General features: G+C 50.3%; 1 long non-coding RNA gene and 2 pseudogenes across 7 annotated transcripts in view, besides 1 other annotated feature; 2 read left to right on the top strand and 1 right to left on the bottom strand.

The window, feature by feature from the left end:
* XNDC1N-ZNF705EP-ALG1L9P (XNDC1N-ZNF705EP-ALG1L9P readthrough) overlaps positions 1 to 8,941 on the top strand; it is a 123,614-nt gene extending 114,673 nt beyond the window's left edge. For all 3 annotated transcript variants that reach the window (NR_172893.1, NR_172894.1, NR_172895.1), the window contains one exon: positions 6,266 to 8,941. This is a non-coding gene — a long non-coding RNA (XNDC1N-ZNF705EP-ALG1L9P readthrough). The remainder of the gene's footprint in view (positions 1 to 6,265) is intronic.
* On the top strand, positions 63 to 19,559 carry ALG1L9P (ALG1 like 9, pseudogene; annotated as a pseudogene). 3 transcript variants are annotated; one of them, NR_073386.1, is made up of 4 exons: positions 63 to 579; positions 6,266 to 6,329; positions 10,950 to 11,064; positions 18,668 to 19,559. The product of NR_073386.1 is annotated as an ALG1 like 9, pseudogene, transcript variant 3 (transcript). The 3 variants fall into 3 exon arrangements; NR_073388.1 differs by lacking the exon at positions 18,668 to 19,559 and adding an exon at positions 17,797 to 18,107; NR_073387.1 differs by lacking the exons at positions 6,266 to 6,329; positions 10,950 to 11,064; positions 18,668 to 19,559 and adding an exon at positions 1,974 to 3,944.
* Positions 314 to 413: a silencer, noted in NCBI's record as "silent region_3712". NCBI's record gives its function as "represses an Ori minimal core promoter by ATAC-STARR-seq in GM12878 lymphoblastoid cells {active_cell/tissue: GM12878}" and the evidence as "EXISTENCE:reporter gene assay evidence [ECO:0000049][PMID:35858748]".
* Positions 14,261 to 26,408, bottom strand: FAM86C1P (family with sequence similarity 86 member C1, pseudogene; annotated as a pseudogene). The gene is made up of 8 exons (XR_004643250.2): positions 26,290 to 26,408; positions 24,077 to 24,139; positions 22,103 to 22,183; positions 20,446 to 20,542; positions 19,080 to 19,218; positions 18,732 to 18,997; positions 17,756 to 17,905; positions 14,261 to 14,361 (listed from the first exon to the last, which is right to left on the bottom strand). The product of XR_004643250.2 is annotated as a family with sequence similarity 86 member C1, pseudogene (transcript).
* Positions 26,409 to 26,668: the final 260 nt, after the last annotated feature.

Genomic DNA, 26,668 nt, shown 5'->3' with positions numbered 1-26,668 from the left:
GAGGGCAATGAAACCCATCTTTCCGGCCATGCAGGGCGCATGAGCAGTCTGCCTCCCTCGGCGGGCCGGGTCTCCAGGGAGGACCTGATTTTTCTTCACCCATAGTTAGGGAGGCGCAATCGCCCTGGCTTTGGGGCTGGGGCCTCCGGGGAGGTTCCGGTAGGGGCGTTGGAGAGGCCGCTCTTTTTGCAAGGCCCGAGACGGCGGGCCCTGCGCAGGCCGCCCTATTCCGCGCCCTCAGGGCGTCAGTATCCGCCTGAGGCCGGATACCCCAGCTGGGCCCGGATGCCGTCGATGGGCCCGGAGCATCCTCGGCGCTGCCCTCCCAGAGCCCCGCAGAGGCTGAGGTGGCGCGGGGGGCGGGCCCGGCTCCGCGAGAAGCAGCGGCAGCGAGGGCTGGAGGACCCGGGCTACGGGGCTCTGGGGCGTCTGGCCTGGGTGGGACTGAGCCCATTCGGGGGGACTCCGGGGTTCTGGTGTAGGTAGATCCGGGGCAGGCTCAGGACCAAGTCCCTCTCCTTCCACCAAGGAGCGCCCAGAGGCCGGCGGGAGCTCCAGGTTCACCTCCTCCTCCTCCAGGTGTTTACTTTTCCTTTATTTCTGTGAGGCCAGAAATTGTCGCCATCCTTCACATCGGTGAATCGGGACCCTAACACTCATTACCTCAGGTTTATTGTTATTGCCATTAACAGTGTTGGTGGCATTATCACTAAGATCATCATTGTTGTTATTATTGTCATTTATGATTATTAGCAGGTGTGTTCATTTTGTCTTACTATGCATTTTTTTTTGGGGGGGGGATTGGTTTTGTATGACGTTGAATTGAGCTTCTTTAATCTTGACCAGTGTCAGATTTCTGAAGAGCATTCCGGAGGACAACTCCTACCTTTCAGCGCAGCCACAGAATTTCGTGGGCACAGGAGAGCACTTAGAATATTCCCCTTTCATTGCACAGCAGCTTTGGGAAATAGTGGCTGCCTGGCTCTGAGATGAGGTAGAAAAGACTGGATACTGGGGCAAGTGTTAGCACCTCCACTGGTGTTTTTATGAAGCTAAGCGCACTGTCTCCCACGTAGACTTAGAATAAAATCTGATGGCTCTAAAGGGCCGTGGCTGCCCTTCCTGGGACTTCCTGGGAACCTTTAAAGCTTCTGTGGTTTCTGGAGTAGGTAGGTTGCCAAGTCTGTGCCTCATATGGTAGTACCAGTCTTTGCTGGGCCAACAAGGACATTTAGAATGTTTCCAGAAGCTCAGGCATGCTGTTTCTGTTCCTCCCTTCTGTTCAATGGCAATTCACTGGGTCCCTGGCTGACATAGAACATCCTGCAGAAGGTTGGGCTTGGGTGACTTCCTGGTCAGCCTTCCCAGGCAGTCATCTTTGAAAACCTTGAAGAGACTCAAAGAGGCCATTCACTGGTATTTCATGACTGCAGGTGGGGTTTCTGGATCCTTGAGTTTACTTAGCATATTTGAATGGCTCTGAATGGCCAAGAAACCCTCCCTGGTCTTAGAAGCTGCCAAAAGCTATTACTGGGCCTCTGAAGAGACTTTTAAATTTTTCCAAGTACATTTGAGCATAGGAAACTTTTCCAGGTCTAGTTGAGCTAGCTCAGGTCGAGTCCTGAAAAACTAGTGGGTATTGGGGGATCCTATCTTACGAAAGAGCAATTGGTGGCAAAGCTGTGTCTCCAGGACAGCTGTGTGTGTATATGTCTGTAGAACATGCCTTTTAGTCATCTTTGGTAACTGAACACCATTTGTGAATGGATAAACTATATTCATTGCTGTACAATAATGAAAAATCCATATTAACAATGGCAGTAATACAAATATTGATGGATATTAACAGGAATAATGATCATCATGATACTAGTACTAATGGTTTTAATACTGATAATAATACTAACCCTATGGGCTTGGGACATATAGGTTTTCCATAAGTGGATAATAGGCATAAATATTTGTCTGTGTAGGGTTATTTCAAGTCCCAAAAAGCAAGGATGAACATCTAGAACGAGAAGAAAAACAATCTGGAGGTTAGTATGTGCACACCTGGGGACTCCTGTGTTAACTTCTGGTGTTTCAGCCTAAGAGAGAATGTTAATATAACCCTGGTCCTGGAACACCATGCTGACCAACACCTACCAGCTTTCAGGAGATAAGACAGCTGGCTGATGGGGCAGGGATCCAGAGAAGGCACGGGTCCACACCTGCACATGTTGCCCAGTGGCAGAGTTCATGACAAGCAATAAGCCCCAGGACAATGTCATTCCCAGCCACCTGGCTGTCATCTGCTCTTTCATGACCCCTCTCTCCTGGTACCTCTAGGCACTGGCATGTCCTCCAGAGGCTGTAGGAGGGCATGATACTCAGTACTCTCACACCTGCAGGAGGCAAGAAAGATGGAAACAGCTAAATACCATGGCTTCTGGATTTTTTTTGGTGGGCATGGCATATTTTGCATTTGCTTTAATAATGGTGGAACCCAGTCAGTGGCTTGCAATACGGATCTAGATGACTCTGGACACCTGTAGAGATTTTGACAATTTCCAGAAGGTCACAAGTTCTTGGAGACTTTTTCATGAGTTCTTTGACTGAAAAGGTGGTTCAAAGAGCTTCTATACTGACTTAGAAAATGTTGCAGAGGCCAGGTGCGGTGGCTTATGCCTGTAATCCCAGCACTTTGGGAGGCCAAGGCAGGCGGATCATGAGGTTAGGAGTTTGAGACCAGTCTGACTAACATGGTGAAACCCCCTCTCTACTAAAAATACAAAAATTAGCCGGGCGTGGTGACACACACCTGTAATCCCAGCTACTCAGGAGGCTGAGGCAGGAGAATCGCTTGAACCTGGGAGTCAGAGGTTGCAGTGAGCCAAGATCGTGACACTGGACTCCAGCCTGAGCGACGGAGCGAGACTCTATCTCAAAAATAAAATAAAAATAAAAATAAAATAAATAAATAAATAAATAAATAAATAAAAAGGAAGACAAAAGAAAGTGTTGCAGACACTGGTGAACAGGTAGGCCCTCTCCTGCCACTCCAGGTAAAAGTTTCTTGGCCACAAACCTGATTTAGCAATATCCCTTCATCTTAGGTGGGTAACAGAAAGCTATTCATGACCTATCCAAGCATGGAGAGGGGATTTGACTTAGAAAACTGTTAGGTGGACTAGTTGCTGAAAGAAAGTGCATTCTAGGGCTCACAGGCCTACACATAGAGTTGCTATCACATAAAGCATATGTACGAATTCTTTCTGAGCCCATGACAAGATGAGGGTGCACTTCATCAGTCTCCTATGCTGGTATGAATAGGTACTTGCCTGAAAAATAAAAGAATAATTCAGGAAGCCCATTCTTCTACAGGACACCAGGCAGTACAGTAGGAGTCCTGGGGTTGCTGTGGTATTTATGTTTTAAGGTTGTCTTTTAATCATCTTCAGCAAATTCAACAGTCTTCAGGAACATAAAAAAATTATTCAACATTGCATAAAAACGACCAAAAATGTATCCATGATAAAGAACTGTACCAATATAATAATAACATTAATAACAATCATAATGGTGATGATATAAATGTCAATTTAATGAAGAGAGTAATAAAAATGCAGATATTTAAGAACATATTCCTGTAAGCCTGTGACAATGTTCCCATATGAGCCCTCATGTTATTGATTAGATGGAGAAGCTTAGGGCTACATCTTGAAATATCTTCTGTGTTGGCAAAGAAGAGTGGCAGTAGGGAGAATAATTCTGAGCCACATGAGAGCATAGGCAAAAGTGGAGATACCTGTGCCATGTGGAAATACATTACAAATGGACTATGGCAAAGGGTCTGGCCAGAGTCTTGCCTGACACACGTCGTACAAAAGCCTTCAGTAGTTCACCTCAAGAAATAGCGTGTCCAGGCTGTAAATGAGAGGCACTGGGCAGACAGATCCACACCCGCCTCCTGAGTCTCAGAAGTCTGGTGTGCATCGAACATTAAGCCCCTAGCCTACTGAGACTTCACCTCCCAGCTGGTCTTCTACCATCTGATTCTTGAGCCCCATCACGTTAGTGTCATCTCCATACTGGAATTGCCAACAATGTCTGACGGAGGGTATTACCCTGGGTACTTGGTACCAGCAATGTATGAAATACCAGAAGGGAGGCTCCAGGGCTTCCATAGAAGACACATTCTAAAGTTACTCAGGTGATCAAATGGTCATCTCAGAGATTTTCAGTAGAACTGCAGCATTTTGTCGATACCTGAGTGAATGCAGAAAATATCCAGAGGCACGGGCATTCTAGGAAGCTCCCTGTGTAAATCAAATACAAGGAATATCTACTTCTGGGCTCAAAAGCTAACTTAGAGAAAAAAAAAGTGAGATGCTGGCAGAAGGCAAATAACTCCACTTCAGTTCCCAAGAGAAAAATGGTTCTGTAACCTCTGAGTTTATTTAGAAAAATTTTGGAGCCTCAGGAAGACCCAGTATATCATTCCTGATGTTTCCAGGACAGATTGGACTGCTTAGGCCTTTGGGAATATTCTAAGTCCTCTCAGGTTTCCATGGGAGGCTGTAACTCTACTCCTAGAACTCACACCACCCCCGAGCAAGCTCATTGTTTTCTAAATATTCCAAGGAAGCCCATCCAGGGTATGCCTGTATTGGTGAGTTTCACTTTGGACTGGCAGGAGAAGACTGAGAATGATACATCCTGAATTCACTTGGTAAAGGTAAGGGAGCCAAGAAGTCCAGATCTGGAGAGCACCTGCAACACCAGATGGCAGAAGGACAGTAAGGAGGTAAAGTCAGCTATGGAGTTGGAGCTTCATGTTTACTGCATGTAGGATTCTGAGTTCCAGGACTGATGGGCTGGTGGGGATCAGAGACGTGTCTTCCTTGCAGGGAGCCAGGCCAAACCAGCCATCTGGTTGCACTACTGAAAGCTTTTGTGTGCCCAGTGGTGGGCAGGACACAAATCACAGTCCCTTCACCTCTGGCTGGTAGTTCTTGATGAGAGAGGTTTGCACACAAATGTTCATATTAGCCCATGGTCTCCTGCGGCTTGCTTTTCTTTCACCTGCTGTTTTTGATGTTTGCCATCATGGAACACATTTCATAGAGAAATTCTTTGACTCTGACTCCAAATTACACAAGGAGGACACAATTTGTGAAGTTTTCATATATTTAGGGGAAGCTCCACATTAATTTTTGTATCCTTATGTTTATATTGTCACCAGTATTAAAATTCATACTATTTAGGTCATTGAATTCATTATCATGATTATTAATTATTTTTCATTTATCATTTCTTTTTATTGATTAATTTTTGTGGCAGCTGTTATATAACAATCACTAGAGTTTCCCTATTCATGAAAGATGTCCAAGTTAATGGAGATAACTAGGAGTGTTACTTTACAGGTATGTAAATACAGATAATCGTGGCTGGACTGTGGCTATATTGTCTGGTGTCCCTTTGAGAGTGAAGCCTCTTGTATTATTCTAAGTGACCTCTGGAGAAAGCAACTGTCTCATAATTGCAGGGACGACTTGAGAAGGCATCCTGAGCCTATGCAGAAATGCAGAAACACTTCCATGATCTAAACAACCTATGTGAAGGCCTGAAAGCCAAAGCAAGATCCTCTTATTACAAAGCTGTCCGACAAAAAGTTTTCCAAGTAACACTGGAGGTCCATCAGTCACTCTTCCTGGTCTGGAAATGCCAGAAATGTCCTCCTTGGTCCTTCTGAGAGTCAAGATCTTTTCAAAATCACCTCAGGAGCCACAGAACCACTTCATCCTACCTGAAATTGCAGGATGACTTCTTTTGACCAGAATCTCAAAAATATATTCGTTGATAGTTTTGATTCCTGGGAGCCGCCATTGCTTGCAAAAGATGTGCCAGAGACTAGACATTTTCTGTCTCCTCACTTGTCTGGGGAAGACTGAAGTTTTACAGAAACACAGAGATGGGAATCTGACCCTCTGAGCAGCCTCAGGATTTTCTAAGTCTTCCAAGCAGAGTGGAAATACTGGTGAGGACCCATTGCACCCCCTGATGGTCTGGAATCACATAGGATGATGCTTTCAAACAACTGTAGGTGGAGATACATTTTCTGAGATATTCCAAGGAGGAGGGACACAACTGGACCAGATGTTAGAAGGACAGCTGAGCATTAAGTGCCTATGTAGTGTTTGCAGCTTAGTGTCCCATGCAGAAGGGGAATCTGGGCCCTGGTGTTAGAATTCAGTGTAATTCTGGGTTCCTGCTTTCCTTCCAGGAAATCCCACTTCCAACTGGATGTCTGGATGAACTACTGAAAGCTGCTGAGTGTCCTGCAGCAGGTGAGCTGTGGCCAGAGCCCAAGGATGAAGGGGGCTCCCTCACTCTGTTACTGTGAAGAGGAAGCCTGAGGTGTAGCAGGCCCAGGCCCCAGAAGTATGGAAAAAAATGAGGTAGGGAGGGAGGGGACCTCAGGAGAAGACTGAGGTCTACAGAATCCCAGGGTCAAGGGGATGGTGCAGTGTTCTGGCACTATCCTTGATGTTCCAAGAGGGGTGAGAATCCATCTCCTGAGTAAAAACTTCACATGGGGTGAGGAGGGGAGAAGAGAACAGAAAGGAAGCAGGGAAGGCCAAGACAGCCACCAGCCTTACAGCAATTTTAACCAGAAATGGACACAGACCCTGGACCCCATCACAGGAGTGCAGGCCTAGGACTGTCTCCAGGTGATGCATAGCTCCCTTGTCAGGTTAGTGGGTTCAGGGATTGTGACGTCTGCAGGGGTGTGGAAGGCTGGGCAATGGGAGCAGCTTACTGGGCTGGACCAGAAATACTGAACTTCTTTTCCATCAGTGAAATCCACTTCTGGGTCAGAAAAAACTGTGAGTTCTAGAGGGGCAGGGCCTAGGAGGAGGTCAGGTCCTGAGCCTTCCTGGTTTGACCCCCTCCCACCCCCTGTGTTTCTGGGTCTGTCCTCACTTCCACCCAGCGGATCCTGAGTCTCTTCCTTTGAGTCCCTGTGAGTGTGTTGTGTGCAGTGGGGCCGGGCTGCTTCATCCACTGCACGTTAAATGTTTCCAACACTTTCCGGCCAAAGCTTAGAGTTGTCAGACCACCGACTTTGAATGTTGACCTGGTTCCTTGTGGAACAGAGTAATAGCTATTGAAGTTTAAAGTCACTTTCCTGCGTGGATGGTGAAGAGGCAGGCTGTTCAGGCATAACTGCCCTCAGGCCTGGAGGGCTGTGGAGGTCACCGTTGGCGGTGGGTGGATCTGGAACCTCTGTGGCTCTAGACTTTCAACTATTTCATTTTTTCTTTTGTAGTTTTTGTTTGTTGCTTGCTTTTTTACAATGGGAACTAGAATGTAAGATGCCAAACTCAGCCTGTGGGGAACATGGATTTTCACAACAGCAACCACAGAGCGTGGTTTCCATTTCTATTCCCTGTTCATGTGGGAGGCAGAGAAGGAAATCAGGTGCTCAGTTCCAGGGACATCACAGGACTAGGACATGTGCAGTGAGGGTGGAAGGCAGAGGCATTGCTTTAGGAGAATAAAATTACTGCATGCACACACATATGTATGTATATGGATGTATGTACACAAACATGCATATTTATAGATTCTGTTCTCTCTCTCTATATACAATTTTCTTTATTTCACACTTGATATGATTTCTAAATTTAAATACCTTTGAGACAAACGTGAATTGTGATGGGATTTAAAAATGTCAGTGAAAAATGGAATTAACAATAAAAATATAAATATAAACTTTATTTCTCAATTTAAGCTCTACTGAGGTCCAGACACTCCATTAAGCGATGATCCCAGCCATTCATTCCATTGCTAAAGAACTGAGGGTAATGGGAATTTAACCGTGTCAATGCAGTCTTCTATTATTAACTAAAGAAAAATGGGTGCCCTTTACAGTTATTTTAAGATTAGGGAAAAAATGTCAGAAGAAACCAAATCAGGACTGTAATGTTGATGCCTAATAATTTCCCATGAAAACTCTTGCAAAATTACCCATGTTTGATGAGAGGAAGGAACAGAAGTGTTGTTGTGGTGCAGAGGGACTCTCTAGTGAAGCTTTACAGGGCGCTTTTCTGCAAAAGTATTTGCTAATTTTCTCTAAGAACTCTCCTAGTAAGCAGATGTTATGGTGCTTTGATCTTACAGAAAGTCAACCAGCAAAATGCCTTGAGCATCCCCAAAACCTCCATGGCTTTTGCTTTTGAGAAGTTTGCTTTTGCTTTGACTGGACCACTTCTACCTCTTGGTAGCCATTGCTTGAATTGTGCTTTGTCTTCAGGATCTTATTGATAAAGCCAGTTTCACTCCCTGTTATAATTCTTCAAAATAATGCTTCAGGATCTGATTCCGCTTGCTCAAAATAGTTACTAATAGCTCTGCTTTTGTCCACTGCTGATCTAGGCACAAGGGTATTTGGGACTCATCAAATGTAAAATTTCTCAACTTTCACGTTATAGTCAGTATTGTGTAAGCTGAACCAATTGAGATGCCTGTGGTGTTGGCTATAGTATCTCTTGCTAATTGTCAATCCTCCTCAATTAGGGCATAGAAACGATTTTTTTTCTCAAAAATTGGTATGGATGTCCCTCCTCTGTTGACTTCATCTTCAACATTGTATTATCTCTTCTTAGAATAAGGTATCCATTTGTAAATGACTGATTCTTCAGGTTATTTTTCCCGTACACTTTTCATAAAGAATAATTTATTTCACCATTTTTTGTACCCCAGCTTCACCGTAAATTTGATGTTTGTTCTTGCTTCAGGTTTGACAGAATTCATGTTGCTGCCATAGAGGGGCTCTTTTCAAACTGATGTCTTAAATCTTGTTCAGATATGTTAAAACAGGGCCAGGCACGGTGGCTTACGCCTGTAATCCCTGCATTTTGGAATTTTAGACAAAATAAAGTTTTTTAAAATTTTATTTTATTTCATTTTAAGTTCTGGGATACATGTGCAGGATGTGCAGGTTTGTTACATAGGTAAATGTGTGCCATGGTGGTTTGCTGTACCTATCAACCCATCACCTAGGTATTCAGCCCACATGCATTAGCTATTTATCCTGATGCACTCCCTCCCCACTCACCCCCAGACAGGCTCCAGTGTGTGTTGTTCCCCTCCCAGTCAGATGGGGCCTGACTGGAGCTGCCAAGGGGTGGAGCTTCTGGGAAAAGGATCCCTCCTAGGGGGGAGTGTCTTGAGCCTGGGGTCATGTGGCAGGGACAGAGACGGGTCCATGGCAGTGTGTGCTCTTCTCTGTGAAGGCAAAGGGCCTCTGAGGGAGTATTACAGTCGCCTCATCCACCAGAAGCATTTCCAGCACATCCAGGTCTGCACCCCTTGGCTGGAGGGCCGAGGACTACCCCCGCTTCTAGGTGAGAGGCCAGCAGGAGGCTCAGGGAGGAGGTGGGGCCTTAAGCAGGGGGAGCAGGGGTGGGCAGGATGTACTTTTTCTGAAAAGGTGGCTCTGGAGGCCACTTGGGGACAGGACCTGGGCTCTGGCTCAACTCCCGGGAGGAGGCCACTTCCTGGTCTGCCAGCCCCTCTTAGCCAGGTGGCCCCAGAGGCCCTTTACCAATGGGTTTGAGGAGGCCACGTCCTTTCATCCTGCCACGCCCTCCATTCAGTCCTCTTCCTTCCTGCAGGAGGGCTGGGCCTGGGGTTGAGGCCACTGTTGCCCAGGTGTGGGAGGACAGTGGCTTTGGGAGGTACAGGGACGATGTGTCAAACAGCATCGCCTCTCCCAGTGAGATGGTTCTTCTTTGTCTCCGTCTCTTTCCCCGTTGATTTCTCCAAGTTGGGAGTCGTGGCTTGGTCCTGATGCGTCTCTAGAGCCGCATCTTCCAGCTTCGAGTGAGCAGAGCACTTGGCGGCTGAGGGTCTTTTCCTGGCAGGATTCTCCAGCTAAAAGACAAGACTGTCTTTTAGACAGTCTTGCTCCGTTGCCTAGGCTGGAGTGCACGATCTCAGTTCATGCAACCTCCGCCTCCTGGGTTCAAGCGATTCTCCCACCTCAGCCTCCCAAGTAGATTACAGGATTATGGGAGCCCGCCACAACACCTGGCTTATTTTTGTATTTTTAGTAGAGACAGGGTTTCACCATGTTGGCCAGGCTGGTCTTGAACTCCTGACCTCAAGTGATCCTCTCGCCTTGGCCTCCCTAAGTGCTGGGATTCCAGGCCTGACCCATCATGCCTGGCCCCAGCTAGTCTTTAGAAATGTTAAGCTATTTGGCTTTATTTTCACACTGACAGCTGGTTTGTGGTGGGTGTGATGTGGTTTATTATTATTATTATTATTATTTTGAGACGGAGTTTCGCTCTTGTAGCCCAGGCTGGAGTGCAATGGCGCGATCTTGGCTCACTGCATCCTCTGCCTTCCCAGGTTCAAGCGATTTTCCTGCCTCAGCCTCTTGAGTAGCTGGGATTACAGGCACCTGCCATGACGCTTCGCTAATTTTGTATTTTTTTTTAGTAGAGATGCGGTTTCACCATGTTGGCCAGGCTGGTCTTGAACTCCTGACCTCAGGTGATCCACCCGCCTTGGCCTCCCAAAATGCTGGGATTACAGACAGGAGGTAAACCTGGGAGGTGGAGGTTGCAGGGAGCTGAGATTGTGCCACTGCACTCCAGCCTGGGTGACAGAGTGAGACTCTGTCTCAAAACAAAACAAAACAAAACAAAACAAAACAAAACAAAACAACGACAACAAAAAACAAATTGTGGTTATGTAGAAAATGTGTCAACTTACATTTTCAGATGTCCCAGCCAGGCCGTGTGGCTGCGTGGCCAGCTTAAGCCACTTGTGCTTGGGGATGTCGGGGGCCTTATCCAATTTTCACTCCCCTTGGGGGATGTTGTCTCACTCTGCTGGGAGGATTTTTGTTCCCAGGGCAGAGACCAGCGCTCTAACCCACCCCTCTTGCCTAGCAGGGTCGGTGGACCTGGGTGTCTGTCTGGACACATCCTCCAGTGGCCTGGACCTGCCCATGAAGGTGGTGGACATGTTCAGGAGCTGTTTGCCTGCGTGTGCTGTGAACTTCAAGTGGTAGGAGCAGAACCCGAATCTTTCTGGGGATAGCTTCACAGATCCACCGCTGAGGGGGAAGCAGTGTAGAGTGAGCTGCCCACAGTGAGGCCCTGCCCCTCGGTCAGTCCAGCACACACTGGAGGCCATGAGGAGGAGCCCTGCGGTTACTGTGGCTGGGCTGAGACTCACTGAAGTAGTCGCTTCCATTTAGAGCTCATGTTATATTTAGGTTGGTACAAAAGTAATCACGGTTTTTGCCATTAAAAATGCAATAACTTTTGCACCAGCCTAATGTGAAAAAAGAAAGCACCTTAAATACTAGAACTCCACTCAGGGCTTTTGCTCCTAGAGTAGAATTGGAGGGAATTGCCTGCAGGCTTACATGGTTTTCTTTGTTTTTCTCTCCCACCATGTCCTTTTTGGCCAAGCTCACATGGTGGGTTTGAATCAGTTAAATGAATGTCATGCTGTGGCCTCACTCCACCCAGCATAGACGGGTGTTTGGAAGGGTGGCGTTAGAGGAGATTCTAGAAGCAGTAGCCCCAGCACAAGTTGAGCCCTTGGCCCCTGCTCAGGAGCCGGCTCCTGGATGGGATTCAGGGGTGCGAGCCCCTCGTGTGAGCTGAGCTCAGGGAATGTCGGGATCAAATCTGGTGTCCTAGAAAAGTCATCTTTTATGTGCTGAACCAGTCCCCAGGGGGTTGCGTTTACTTGTTCCATGGCCATGGAATTAAGAAAAACATGCAAAAATAATTCTTCAGTACTTGAAGAGCATCCAGCACAGAAGGTACAAACCTTCCTTAAGGCTCCCTCCTCAAATCGGTTTGGCCATTTTGATGTGCACCCCCAGGCCTTTATACCCTTCAGATGCCAAATCTAAGAACCAGCTCCCAGAAACCACACATCCTGTTCCAACCCCCAGCCTGGCTTGAGCGTGGGTGGGTGGGAGACAAGCTGGACACCCCAGGGGTCTGGTGTCTTCTCCAGGCAGCTCTCAGGCTCCCTTGGTTCTCTCTGCAGCTTACATGAGCTGGTGAAACATGAAGAAAATGGCCTGGTCTTTGAGGACTCAGAGGAACTGGCAGCTCAGCTGCAGGTAGCCATGTCTGCCACCACGCCAGGGTGGGCAGGGTTCTGGAGACTGGCACCGAGCCACAATCCCTGATCCCTGCTTCCCACAGCCAGGGTTGTACCATGGGGGGTCTGGTGGAAAAGCTAGTGAGGGAGCAGAAGTCACAGAGGCTGGCCTACTCTGCTGTCCCATTTCAGTACAGTAGGCTCGGGAAAGTTAGGACACAACCCCACCTGCCCTCTGGATTTATGGAGCTGACACTCCACAAATGATGCTGGAGCCGGGTGGGCCAGGCTGCAGTTTAGGAAGTGATCAGGATCAGGTAGGTGCGTGGGCAAAGGGAACTTCTGGGACCAGCCTTGAAAGATGGGTGGAATTCTGCAAAGGTTACTTGTTTCTTATTGCAAAAAGTAATACATCATTCTTGTCAACAGAATGATTGGGAGGATTTTCAGTAAAGGTCCAGGTCAGAAGTCATTTAGACTGGGTTCCCCAGTCTCTGTCAGAACCATGGTACTCTGTTGTGGTGTGAGAGTAGCCACAGATCATCTGTAGATTAAGGGGTGTGGCTTTGTTCCAATAAAGCTTTATTTACAAACACAGGCTGTGGGCTGGATTTGGCCTGCAGGCTGTAGTTTGTGATCCTTGATTCAGACAGTTTAGCAAGGCTGAAAAGAACACCCACACCCCCTTGTTACCCACAGATGGGTGGGACTGTGTTGGCCAGAGGCTGAGAGGAGGGTGCTCACAGGGGAACGTACAGCATGTAGAGGCCGGAAGGTGCTCCAGCGCACCAAGTGTGGGAAAGTGGGACACACGGGGAAGTTTCCAGAAAGCATGATGTCAAGTTGGAGGCGGAGCGCTGCTGGGTTGTGAAGGGTCTCAAGTCCAAGTGAGGGAGTTAGGGACTTGGGAGGGGTTGTTGTTGGGTCGGGGACCTGGGTTCAGCCAGGTGGTGACCTGGGATGGGGTGGGGACAGGCAATGAAGTAAGCTCTGCTCTTTAGTATTTTGCAGATGCTTTTCTCAAACTTTCCTGATCCTGCAGGCAAGCTAAACCAGTTCTGGAAGAACCTGCGGGAGTCGCAGCAGCTCTGATGGGATGAGAGCTGGGTGCAGACTGTGCTCCCTTTGGTTATGGACACATAACTCCTGGGCCAGAGGCTAAAACCCCAGGGCCCCTGCTGTCCTTCCCGCAGCTTCTTCTTGGTGTCTCAGGGCAAACCCTTTCGAGCAGCGCCTCCCAGTGGCCGGAAGCTGAAATGAAGGCAGTGGTGCCACCTGGTGAATGACTCGGGAAGCTGTGGTTGGCCCTGATTTCTTCTTTGGAGTCTCTGAAACGCTTCCTGTCTTCTGTTCTTCACGCCCCATGCCCCTGCTAGCGTATTACTGTTCTGTGACTTCCCTGTGACCTCTGCAGTACTCCTTACCCTGCATTTGGTCTCCAGGTGTCACCTTTCTGCCATGTTCCTAACACTTTGATTCCTGTCTTGAAAAAAGCACCTGCTGCATCATAAACCCAGGGATGTGGCAGCTGCAGCCGGCTTGGCTTTTTGAGGAACCGAGTGTGTCCAGGGATGTGGCAGCTGCAGCGGGCTTGGCTTTGTGAGGAAACGAGTGTGTCCAGGGATGTGGCAGCTGCAGCGGGCTTGGCTTTGTGAGGAAACGAGTGTGTCCAGGGATGTGGCAGCTGCAGCGGGCTTGGCTTTGTGAGGAACCGAGTGTGTCCAGGGATGTGGCAGCTGCAGCGGGCTTGGCTTTGTGAGGAAACGAGTGTGTCCAGGGATGTGGCAGCTGCAGCGGGCTTGGCTTTGTGAGGAACCAAGTGTGTCCACGTTGGGGGAATGTCATACTTGATACACACGTTTTTATTTGCACAATGAAAATGCTATTTTTGGAGCCAGAATTTTCATGTCTGATTTATGGTGATTTTCTTAAGAACCAGAACTGCTGGCAGAAAGGGGGAACCCACATGCTTAGATAGCCGATGTCTTATTAGAGCGCAGTTTGTGGTTCCTGATTTGGAATTTAACATTCTCCAAACATTCCAGTCCAATGAAAGTTTTATCCGCTTTCCCATATAAAAATTCTTCCCACGAGAGTGACTTAATTCTCACAATCCCGTTGGAGTCATGTGTGAGTCCTACAGTGTGAGGTTCAGCTTTGCCATCTCCAAGTGCTCTCTGTAGGGAAACAGTTTCTGGTCATGATGAGCTTCCGCTTCCCATCTGATCCCAGTCCAGCCTGGAAACAGAGCACGTGTTTGAGGATGGCGGTGTTTGGGGACAGGACATGAGCGTATTGTGTGGGGCTGCTAGGACAGGCCTGGCGGGGTGGGGGGTGTCTAAGTCAGTATACTTTGTTCACAGGTTCCCAGGCCCACCCAGGTACCTAGAATTGGCCTCCAGGATGGGACCAGAAATCTGGTTTTGCATAGAAATGGCTAGCAGCAGGCACCATGCTGCTGTCCACTCTCTGCCTGTGTCTGCCCCAGCACTTGGCACAGCAGGACAGAAGCAGAGATCTGAACCCACATCTACCTGGCTGCTTAGTCAGTCCACTCTTCACAAAGCTTAGAAAGTGGCCGGGCACAGTGGCTCATGCCTGTAATCCCAACACTTTGGGAGGCCAACGCCGGCGGATCACTTGAGGTCAGGTGTTCGAGACCAGCCTGGCCAACGTGGTGGAACTCCATCTCTACAAAAATACAAAAATTAGCCAGGCACGATGGCGGGTGCCTGTAATCCCAGCTACTTGGGAGGCTGAGGCAGGAGAATTGCTTGAACCCAGGAGGCGGAGGTTGCAGTGAGCCGAGATTGTGCCACTGCACTCCAGCCTGAGTGACAGAGTGAGACTCTATCTCAAAACACACACACACACACACACACACACACACACACACACACACACACACACACAGAGCTTAGAAGGGGCTGGTGTTCTTATAAGCACAGATGTCTGAAGAGCCATTATCCAGAATGATTCTTTTTTTTTTTTTTTTGAGCTACGATCTTGTTCTTTCACCCAGGCTGGAGTGCAGTGGCACAGTCATTGCTCACCACAGCCTCGACTCCTGGGCTCTAGCAATCCTCCCACTTCCTGAGTAGCTGGGATGACAGGTGCATGCCACCATGCCAGTAATTTTTTTATTTTGTAGAGATGGGGTCCTGAACGCATGGCCTCAAGTGATGCTCCTGCCTTAGCCTCTTTTATTATTATTTTTTAGATGGAGTTTTACTCTGTTCCCCAGCTGGAGTGCAGTGGCGCAATCTCAGCTCACTGCAACGCCTCCCAGGTTCAAGTGATTCTCCTGCCTCAGCCTCCTGAGTAGCTGGGATTATAGGCGTGCACCACCACGCCTGGCTAATTTTTGGGTGTTTAGTAGAGATGGGGTTTCACCGTGTTGGCCAGGCTGGTCTTGAACTCTTGACCTCAGGTGATCTGCTCACCTCAGCTTCCCAAAGCCTCAGCCTCTTACAGTGTTGGGATTACAGGCATGAGACACTGTGACCCGGGATGATTTTCAATCACGGTTTTTTGTTACGAGTGGAAAATGCGTATTTATAAAAATGAAGTAGTATAGACATGAACATGTAGCAATCTCTATAATCCTGCCATCCAAGGATGGCACCTGTTAACGTGTATATCAACGATGTCCAATCTTTTGGCCTACATGCGCCACATTGGAAGAAGAAGAATCGCCTTGGGCCACACATAAAATACACTAATGCTAGCAATAGCTGATGAGCTAAAAGAAAAAAATCACAAAAAAATCTCATATTGTTTTAAGAAAGTTTACAGATTTGTGTAGGGCCACAGGTTGGACAAGCCTGCTATATATATGTTCTAGGTTTTCTCCTATAGGTATACTTATGTGAAAATGATTATTGTGATAATTTTTTTTTGAGATGAAGTCTTGCTATGTTGCTCAAGGTGGCCACAAACTCCTGGGCTTAAGCCATCCTCCCACCTCAGCCTCCTGAGTAGTTGGAATATAGGTACTCATAACCACGTGTGGGTGATTATTATTAGTTTTTAAACAAAAATGGGGCTGGGTGCAGTAGCTCACGCCCGTATTCCTAACACTTTGGGATGCTGAGGCAGCAGATCACTTGAGGTCAGGAGTTCAAGATCAGCCTGGCCAACATGGCGAAACCTCAACTCTAGAAACAATACAAAAATTAGCCAGGCGTGGTAGCACGCACCTGTAGTCCCAGCTACTCAGGAGGCTGAGATGAGAGGATAGCTTGAACCTGGGAGGTGGGAGGTTGCAGTGGGCCGAGATGGCACCACTGCACTCCAGCCTGGGCAATACAAGGCCAGACTCTGTCTCAAAAAAAAAAAAAAAGGTTGGTGGGGGCTTATACTATGTGTGCTGCTTGGCACTGTTTTTTTCACTTAAAAGATATGGCAGGTTTTTTTTCACGTAAGTATCTGAAGAAAGACTTCCTTTTTTTTTTTTTTTTTTTTTTTTTTTGCTTTTTTGCTTTTTTGAGACAGGGTCTTGCTCTGTTGCCCACGCTGGAGTGCAGTGGTGAGATCAGGGCTCACTGCAGCCTCCACCTCGTGGGCTCAAGCCATCCTCCCACCTCAGCTTCCCAAGTAGCTGGGACTACGGGCGTGTGCAACCACATCTGGCTAGTTTCTGTAAGTTTTGTGAAGATGGGGTCCCACTATGTGGCCCAGGTTGGTCTTGAACACCTGGGGTCAAGTAGTCCTCCTACCTTAGCCACCTAAAGTGCTGGGATGACAGGCCTGAGCCCCGCGCCCGGCCAGCCTCCTGTGTGAGGTTGTGCAGGACTCTGTCGTGGAACCCAGTATGTCTTCGTGTCCTGGCTTGTTTGTTGGCTCTGTAGTTAACGGGCTGCCCCACGTGGACAGGCACTGGCTTGTCCGTGTCTCTGTGTGCAGGCAGAGGCTGCTGCGGGTACATCTGTGCACATGGCTGCCAGGAGGGGCTGTGCTCAGGGGGAGCTGGGGCAAAGGCTGGTGGCAATGGGGGGCTTGGGTGTAGAGTGGAGGCACAAGAGCCAGGTGGCCGGGCAGCAGTCTGTGGGAGCTCGGGGGTTGCTTGTCCTCTGTGTGTCCTAGTGTCTTTGTCGGTGAGATGGGACAATGATATCACACTCTCACAGGTGCGGGGGCTGACAAATGTCAGGTCTGAGGACAGTGGCTGGCCCACTACGGGGCCAGTTCCCCTTCTCTATAGTCACCCTGCTCATCTTCCATTGACTGGGTGCTCAGGACAGTGGCGTGGTGGATCCGCCTGTACAGCCTGTGCTCCAGCGTCCTGCAGGCCACAGCTGTGTCCAAACCTGACCCCGACTGCCCCTCCTGCCACCTCTATTTTATAGATGAGGAAACCGAGGCCCAAGGGCTTAGGGAACCCTGCTCTGAAGCACACAGTAGGGCTGCTGGGCTCAGATCCTCCCTCCCTGTGCTGAGCTGCCCTCCTCCTGCCACAATCCCCCCACGACCCGAGCCCACCCTTCTCACCGGCCTCTGCCCTAGTTCCCCGCATGGTGTGGGAGTGTGGGGCATCCTAGCTTTTCCCCGGCCCCCAGTTCTTTCACTTCCACTGGAGTCCTGTAGGGACAGCTTGGGGACCATGCAGGCCCGGGTGGGCGTGGGGGCTCACATAGCTCGGTGGTGAACAGCTGGCACATCTCTGGGTTGCAGACGGTAAGGGCCATGTAGAATTGAGGAGCCCGCTGGTGCTCCCGGCAGGCAGCCAGCCTCCGCAGGACCCCGACCAGCGACACGATGGCTTCTGGGCAATACAGCACGTCTACGGTGAAAGCTTCAGGTTACTGAAAGGGACCAGCGGACAGTTCCAGGTCATGCTGACCTCAGCAGAAGGGCGAGGCCAGAGAGGCAGCGGTCATATGAGACTAGTAGATGCCATTTGATCATTTGGGCCATTAGATGGAAAGGCAATTACTTGGGTGAAAAAGGAGAACCCTTAATAGAGAAAGCTGCAAAAGACTGAAGCAAAAGAAAAAAATCTCCAGACTCACTGGTGTTCCTTAAAAAACGTGCTCTGGTTCTCGGCCTATCTAGAGGGCTGTGAATGACACAAAGCCTGACCCTGCGATGAACTTCGTGTTTCAGGTGTCTGCGGATTTGTCTGCTGGCTTGCAGGGGTGGGCCTGTGTCCCTGGCCACTGCTGGACCTGTGATTTTCAGGGCTGGGACCCAGGACCACAGGCAGAGCTCTGTTCGACCAGAGAGGAGACTGAGCGTGCTGGCAGGGGTGAGGGGTTTTCCGTGGCCCAGCCAAACACCACCTTCTCTCAAGGGCCCTGTCCTTATCCCAGAAGTGGTTGTTTTCCTCCTGTGGTCTCTGAAACACACAGGCATGGCTCTGGGACAGAGCCATGTGGTGACGACTGTAACGGGAGTATGCCTGTCTCCAACAAGAGGGCTGTGGCTTGAAGGTCAGCTTAAGAGGCACCCCTGTCCTTTGATGTCACCCTGGAGGCCCAGAGTAACTCTTCTGGAAGCCCCATCATGTCCATGCCCAACAGCATCCATTGTTCCCTTTTCCCAGAGCCAAGAGCTGGTTAGAGCTGCAAGGACACCGCCTGCACAGGATGCCCGGGGCTGGGCATTACCTGCTGCAATGACAACATCTGGCTGGATGGCAGAGAGCTGACAGACCGTCGCGACGTCCCAGTCCAGCTGGGCCACTGTCACCCTGGGGCTGTCTAAGTTGGCAGTGATATCTGCACCTAATGAGAGGCCATTGAGAAGGACATTCCCTCAGAGCTGCTAGAGGACCCAGCTGTGACAGTCCCTGAAGATGTATGCCCGGGGGTGGCACATCTTGCAGATGGCCAGGCCTGTGAGGCCAGCACCACTGCCAAGCTCTAGGACAGTCCTGGTGGGAGGAAAGGGGGTCATGTCTGCGACTGCACCAGGGTAAGCCTGCCTCGGTGCCCTGCCCTGTGCCCTGAGGTCACCTATCAGTGAAGGCTGCTGGGTTCTCGATGGCCCATTCTGCAAGGTAGAGGGCGGCATCCCATGTGACCAGGACTGTGATGCCGTGGGAGATGATGGCTGTGCTCTTGGAGAGTGTGACTGAGCCTCCCGAGGGCAGCACCAAGAGAAGGCGAGAGAGTCAGTCCAGCGATCAGAAGGCAAGTGGCTTAGAAGACAAGCAGCCATCCACCACATGGCTGAATAAACCATGACAGGACAAATCGCCACTCAGCAATGAGAAGCAGCTAACTGTTGACATGCCAACAGCTTGCACAGGCCTCAAGGGTGTCACGTGGCATGAAAGACACTCATCTCAGGCCACACAGGATTCCATTCATTGAACATTCCTGAGACAATGGAATTCTGGCGATGGAGCACAGGTCAGTTGTGGCCAGGGGCCGGGTGTGGCTATGAAGGGGTGGCTGCCTTGTGATGATTCAATATGCTATGTTTTTCCTTTGTGGTTTTCTGTATCTATGTTTTATCTTATTTTTTTTGAGCTCTGTTCCCCAGGCTGGAGTCAGTGGCACAATCTTGGCTCACTGCAACCTCTGCCTCCTGGGTTCAAGCAATTCTCCTGCCTCAGCTGCCCAAGTAGGTGCGACTACAGGCATGTGTCACCATGTCTGGCTAATTTTTCTACTTCTTTTTGACAGTTTCACTCTCGTTGCCCAGGTGGGAGTGCAATAGCGCGATCTTGGCTCACTACAACCTCCACCTCCTGGGTTCAAGAGATTCTCCTGCCTCATCCTCCTGAGTAGCTGGGATTACAGGCGCCCACTACCACACCAAGCTAATTTTTGTATTTTTAGTAAAGGCAGAGTTTCACCATGTTGGCCAGGCTGGTCTCAAACTCCTGATCTCAGGTGATCCACCCGCCTCAGCCTCCCAAAGTGCTGGGATTACAGGCATGAGCCACCACGCCCGGCCTAATTTTTGTATTTTTAGTAGAGACAGGGTTTCACCATATTGGCCAGGCTGGTCTTGAACTCCTGACCTCGGATCCACCCGCCTCAGCCTCCCAAAGTGCTGGGATTACAGGTGTGAGCCACCACACCCGGACCTGTCAACTATTCTTTGAGGACTGGGCACCAGGTCCTTGTGAAGCAGGTAGAGTGTGTCACCTATTGGACAAATGCCTCACAACCCTATAAGACATGCTGTTGTTGTTGAAGTGCTTGATTTACAGACAGGGAAACTGAGGCTAAAGAAGGTTGACGAACCTCATGTCTAAGACTGCAGACTGGGTGAGTCAGGATTTGAACCCACACCCACGTTTTCACTTTGTCTGTGCGGGAAGGGTATCTGGGCTGTGAGGGGGAGGAGGGTGTCCTTCTCATACCAGCAAATAGCTCCGGTGGCCCTGGGTGGACTCCTTGGCCATCAGGGTCTCCACCAGCACCTCGTACAGCTCATCCAAAGGCTCTGTGTGGACAGCCTCGTGCTGGGGGCAGACAGAGTGAGAGCTTGTTTGCTTTCGTTCTAATCTGTAAAAATGGCCAGATGATTTTCACCAAGTTTGGAGGGGAGATATGGGATAGAATGGTGTAATACCGGCCAGCTGCCATATAAAATATTCACTTCGTTGGGCGTGGTGGTGTGTGCCGAATAGTCCCAGCTACTCTAGAGGCTGACATGGGAGGACTGCTTGAGCCCAGGAGTTCAAGGACAGCCTGGGCAAGAGACCTTGTCTCTAAAAAAAAAATTCACTTGGTAGGGAAACCTGGATGGGAGGGCCTTCAAAGAGAGGTGTTGAAAGTGTAGGGTTGGGTGTAGTCTAGGGCAGGAGACAAGGATTCTGTGAGAGCTGCCACATGACCATGACAGAGAGGAGGAAAACAAAAGGTGCTTTTAAGTGAGCCCAGGCAGAACTGTGAGGGCGGCCCATGCTGCAGGCTGTGGCTGTCAGCAGGCTGCTTCTCCACGGCTGGCCCCATCCTAAGATTCACAGGGCAGCAGCAGGGTACACTGGGTGACTGCTGCCCTCTCCTGGTGGCACAGGGCAGACCTACTGGTGACCACAGATGCACCCTTTTGGGGAGGACTAGGGAGAAAGAAGGTATTGGAGAAGCAGGGGATTGTTTATTTGCTAAAAGTGTGGCCCTTTCACACAGAAGATCTGCTACTGCCTACTGAGGAATGGCCTCTCGACATCCTTATGTCAAACCCTGCATGTTCGGGCTCATCTTTAAAATCCATCCTAGGCCAGGTGTGGTGGCTCATGCCTGTAATCCCAGCATATTGGGAGGCCGAGGCAGGCGGATCACCTGAGGTCAGGAGTTTGAGACCAGCCTGGCCAACATGGTGAAACTCTGTCTCTACTAAAAATAAAAAAATTAGCCAGGCATGGTGGCATGTGCCTATAGTTTCAGCTTCTTAGGAGGCTAGGCACGAGACTTGCTGGGACCCAGGAGGCAGAGGTTTCAGGGAGCCAAGACTGTGCCATGGTAATCCAGCCTGGGCAACACAGTGAGACTCTGTCTCAAAAAAATAAATAAGTAAAAAATAAAATCCATCCTGTATCAGTCAGGAAAGAGCTCATTCCAGCAGGATCAATGCAGAGAATTCACCAGCGGAAGTAGTTCCAAAGGTATGGCAAGAGCTAAACCTTCCAACAGGGGCCCGTGGGGCAACCCAGAGATGGACAAGAGCAGGAAACTCCAAACCCTTCGGCGGGCAGGACAGAGGGTGTGAGTGAGGGTTCCAGTGCTGTGGGCTGGACCAGCCTGGTAGGAATGAGAATCCATATGCTAGGAGCTGGGGCCCCAGAGAAGCAGCTGCTGCGGAAACCCCAGGAGGCAGAGTGAGGGAGAGACGCTGGCCTTCCCTTCTTCCCGCCCTGCACTGTCTCCCATGGGTCACACGCGGCTGCAGCCAGTTGCCTGGGGAGGCCCCTGCCATACTGGGGTTTGCAAAGCAGGCCCAGGGCCTGGGAAGGATGAGGTCTGCAGCACGCAGGTGGCTATGCTGTCCTGCTACTGGGCGGACACTGCCCATAACTGACCTTTTTGATGAGTTCTGAGAGAAAGCACCGGGCATACTTGACTGACGGCGGGTGCTTCACACACACAGGATGCTTCACAGTCTACTGCAAGGGACAGAACATTGGTTGCTCGAGAGCCCGTCTTAAGTCGCCTATGAGCCTCAAGCCAACATGGCAGAGGGCAAACTCCAGGCTACCGGATCCCTCAGCAAAGATGCAGATGGACACAGCGTTCTGGCCCCATGCATCTGAAGTTTGTCTTAAGCTATAAGCCGTTTCCTAAAAATGCTTCCACTGCAGTGGCACAGGCTATGGCAGCATTTCTAATGCCCATTCTGAGCAGGAACACAGGGCACGTGGGCCCAAACCACCTCCCTCCCAGGGGAGCCAGTGTGAACCAGCGTTTGCAGTAAAGACAGTCGCCAACTGTCTGGCTCTATGGAAGAGGAGGGAAGGCCCACTCGGCAACTGCTCTCTTTCAGCGTGTGTCCCTGGGGACAGGATGGAGGGGAGGGGACGCTCAGGGTGACACTCCAGCTAAAGCCAAGAGAAGTCAAGTGCAGGACGAGCAAGTTCCAGGCAGTGGCAACAGCTGGTGCAAGCTCTGAGGTGGCCACAGCCTGGCACTTGGAAAGGAGGGCAGAGGGACTAGTGCAGCAGGACAGGGGATGGTAGGAAAACAGGAGCCTGGAGGGAGAGGGAGGAGACAGTCTGCAGTGCCTGCTGGCTGGGAGGGATGCAGATTCTGCCCAAGGGCAGCAAAGTACCCCACGCAATACACAGGCTCTTCAGGCTGGTGCTGGTTTTTCATTTTTTCTGACACAGAGTCTCGCTCTGTTGCCCAGGCTGGAGTGCAGTGGCCCAATCTTGGCTCACCGCAGCCTCTGCCTCCTGGGTTCAAGCGATTCTCCTGCCTCAGCCTCCCGAGTAGCTGGGACTATAGGCGTGCACCACCACGCCCAGCTAATTTTTGTTTTTTTAGTAGAGATGTGTTTTTGCCATGTTGGCCAGGCCCGTCTTGAACTCCTGACCTTAGGTGATCTGTCCACCTCAGCTTCCCAAAGTCCTGGGATTACAGATGTGAGCCAGTGCACCCAGCCTTGTGCTGGGTTTTAAAGCAGCTATTCCTACATTTCATGCTTCACCACCTACGAGAGTGATGCTCAGGGTGAAACTCAGAGCAGGGTGCAAGACAACTTCAGGTATCTCCATGCTCGAAGCCCTGACCTACTGTATTGCCCCAAAAGTCTTCCCTGCTGTGGCTGCATCTTTTCCACATGGATAATCTTGGTTCACCTCTAGCACAGGAATTCTTCACTGGGGCTCCTAGGATGGGCTGGGTGGGTGGGGGTGGACAATGTCTGCCTCCAGAGTTTGTATGGAAAATGTATTCTTCTGGTGCACTTCTTTCTGGGAGGGAGTCTATTGCTTTGTCTTTTCAGAAGGGCTCATGGCTCTTCGAAGGTGAAGACCCAGGATGCAGGGTGATCTGCACTTGGCCCTCAAGGCCAAGGTCAGGCTGTGGCTGGGCCGGGTGGTGATCCTGCCTCTCACCTACATGCAGATGCTCTTGAGTCCAAACCCCACCCTGGGCAAAGTAAGGGCCCATTTAGGTCTAGAAGAGACAGGAGTGGGCAGGACAGGCCTCACGAATGCAAAAAAGAAAGTCTCTGAGCATCTACCAAATGTTAGAAGCTGTTTTGCACCTGTCATCTCTGTTTTTGCTGTGGGGGGTTTAAAAAACTTTCCCTAGATTCCCCCCTCTCATGCAGAATTTTGTATATTCTGATATCTTTGTCTAAGTCTTATATAGAAAATGAAAGAGCTGGAGCTGTTGGAGGTGCCGACACCCACCTGCAGTGCTGACTCAATGGTTTTGTTCCTTGAACAGGGGTGTTTTTAAAGGGTACAAGCACACCTGTGCTTCTTCTCTCAGGTCTTCCGGAGAGATTCAGGAGGCAGGGTCATGAGTCCCAGGGACTCTGGAATTCTTACCTTCTGCAAAATATCCCGCAGCAGCTCAGAATCTGATGAGTCTCTTAACTTTGCTTCTAAGCTCTGTGTGGAGAGGAGAGAGAGAAATCTCAAGGGTGCATTCACAGGAACATTAAACACGCAATAGAATGAGTTGGCAAAGGGCTGTGTGATCTCTCCCTGGGGATGTGGAGCCAGTTGGAAGTGGAAGCCACAGCAGCTGAAAGCCTGACCTTCAGATGTCGCAGGGTGCACCTGGATGAGTCACAGGAAGAAGGTTAGAAGACTGACTCTTGGCCACATTAGTCCTGGCTACTTAGCGGCCACCCACGTCATGGGCCAGCTCCCTGGTTGCACTGGTCAGCCAGGAATTACCAGGGCAGCCATGGCACCAAAGTTTGATGGGCTTGCCATCTGAGTTTAAGTGGAAATGCAGAATGTGCCCATACCAGCCTGGGTTACATTGTCCTCTTACAGGGACCTCAAGCCCAGCAGCGAACTTTGGCTCCAGAGTTAGCCAGACTGTCTCGGCTGATATGTGACACAGGGCAAGGCACTTCATTGCTTCAGAGCTCCTTCCATGCCATAAAAGACCCTACAAGACCTGGTCCTAATCCCTCTCTCTGGCCTGTTCTCCCTCGCCTCTGGCCCACCCTGCTCACTCCACTCCAGCCACACTGGCTGCCTTGCTGTTGTTCCTCAACCACAGCTGGCTTGTTTCCACCACAAGGCCTTTGCATATCCTGTTCCCCAAGCCCTTCCCATGGCTGGCTGCTTCACCACTCAGGCCCCAGTTCAAATGCCACCTCTTTGGGGAAGGCTTCCCTGATTCCCCGACTTTGGTGACTCTTCTCCCCAGTTGCTCCATTCACCATTTCCCTGTTTTATTGGCTTTAAAGCCACTCTCATCTGGTCTTTTCTTGTTTATTCATTTATTTGTTAATTCTCTGGCTCTCCCATGCAAGCAGAGCCTCATCTGTCATGGGTACTGCTGATCCATGGTGGCTGGCTCACGGAAGGCATTTATTAAACATTTTGAGACTGAATAAAAACACTAGCTAACACCGACATGCATTTATCATGAGCCAGGCACTGATCCACAGGCTTTTGTACTCAACCCTGACGACAACCCTAAGAGGTAGGTATCATTATATCCCTCATTTTATTAATAAGAAAACAACAGCACAGAGAGATGCAGTCACTTGCCCAAGGTCACACAGGGCCAGGGCTTGGGCCAGGATTCGAAGCAGGCAGGCTGTCTCCTGGGTGTGAACTCTCAACTACTGCACCCTAATCAAACAATCCCTCTGGTTAAATGTGAGTGATAATAATAGTACCCACCTCGTGGGTGTTGAGGGTGAGCCCAAGTTAGCATGCAGCGCGGGCATGTGAACAATTATAGTCAATATTGAATGGAGACCTATGATGCTTTTATGAAGGTTTCTATTTTGGGTTAAAAATGCACAAATTTCTCCTGACCAGAAATGATCTCTGAGTGCTAAATATTTTATGTCAATGGAATAACCCAAATGATTAAGCAACACCCATAAAATGGGGCAGACCCAGGGAGGAATATATATCCAAACTGACTCATCCCAGTGAGCTCACCGCACATGAATTACAAATGGGGCCAGGTGCATTAAGCCCCTCTACTGGCAGAAGGGAGGCTGCTGCCTGCCATGGGCCTGTGCTGAGAATGGCAGGTCTCCAGGGAGAGGAGAGGCCACCCCCTTCTCTGTCTCTTCCATCACAGGTGTGAAAGCCTCAGCGCATGAGCTAATTCTGTGCAGTGCTCGACATACAGATGAGAACACTGAGGCACGAGGGACAGCCTGTGACCTGGTCACCGCGCTCAGTAGGACGTGGTTACCCGCGGTCCTGAGGGCGCTGACTTTTTAGAATGGGCGAGGGCAGCTGTGTCCCAGTGACCAGAAGGATTACTGTCTTTAAAAAGTCGTGAAAATGATCGTGAACTGTACCCCACAACGAGTGCGCGTGTGCCTCCCAAGACGGTGGAGAGGCCCCCAGCTTACGCCGCCAGCCCGCGGGGCAAGAAGGGTGCGAGCGACTCTGGCCAGGCCCCAGGGACGGGGACCGGGTCGCGCGGACCTGACCGGCGAGAGCCCAGGCACTCACGTGGCGGGAGCGCCGGGGGCTTCAGCACGGAGACCCATCCCGTCTGCCCCTGGACTCCCGCGAGCCCCGCGGACCTCTCCGCTAGCCCCGCCGCCCACCTGCCAGCGGAAGGAGCGCAGGGCGCGCGCTGCCAGGAAGCGGCGCTTGAAACTCTGCAGCAAGAGTTCGCTCCCCGCGTTCTCCTCGGGCGCCATGACGGGGGCGGGGCCTCAGCCTTGCCGGGAGACCGGGCGGAAGCCGGGCCTGGACTGAAGAGGGGGCGGGCCCAGGGCAGTGCACCGGGGCAGAGAGGGGGCGGGGCCTGGAGGTAGAGTCGTGGGGGTGGCTCTAGGGCGGGGCCAGGATGAGAGTTATGAGGCCGGGGCTTGGGGTGGGGCTAGGATGAGCATTATGAGGGCGAGGCCTGGGGTAGGGCCAGGATAAGTGTCGTTGGGGCAGGTCCTCGGGAGAGTTCAGGTTGGTGGGTCCTGGGGCGGG

Source organism: Homo sapiens, chromosome 11, assembly GCF_000001405.40.
Source record: "Homo sapiens chromosome 11, GRCh38.p14 Primary Assembly".
NCBI lineage: Eukaryota > Metazoa > Chordata > Mammalia > Primates > Hominidae > Homo > Homo sapiens.
This window is presented reverse-complemented; position numbering and strand designations above follow the sequence as displayed.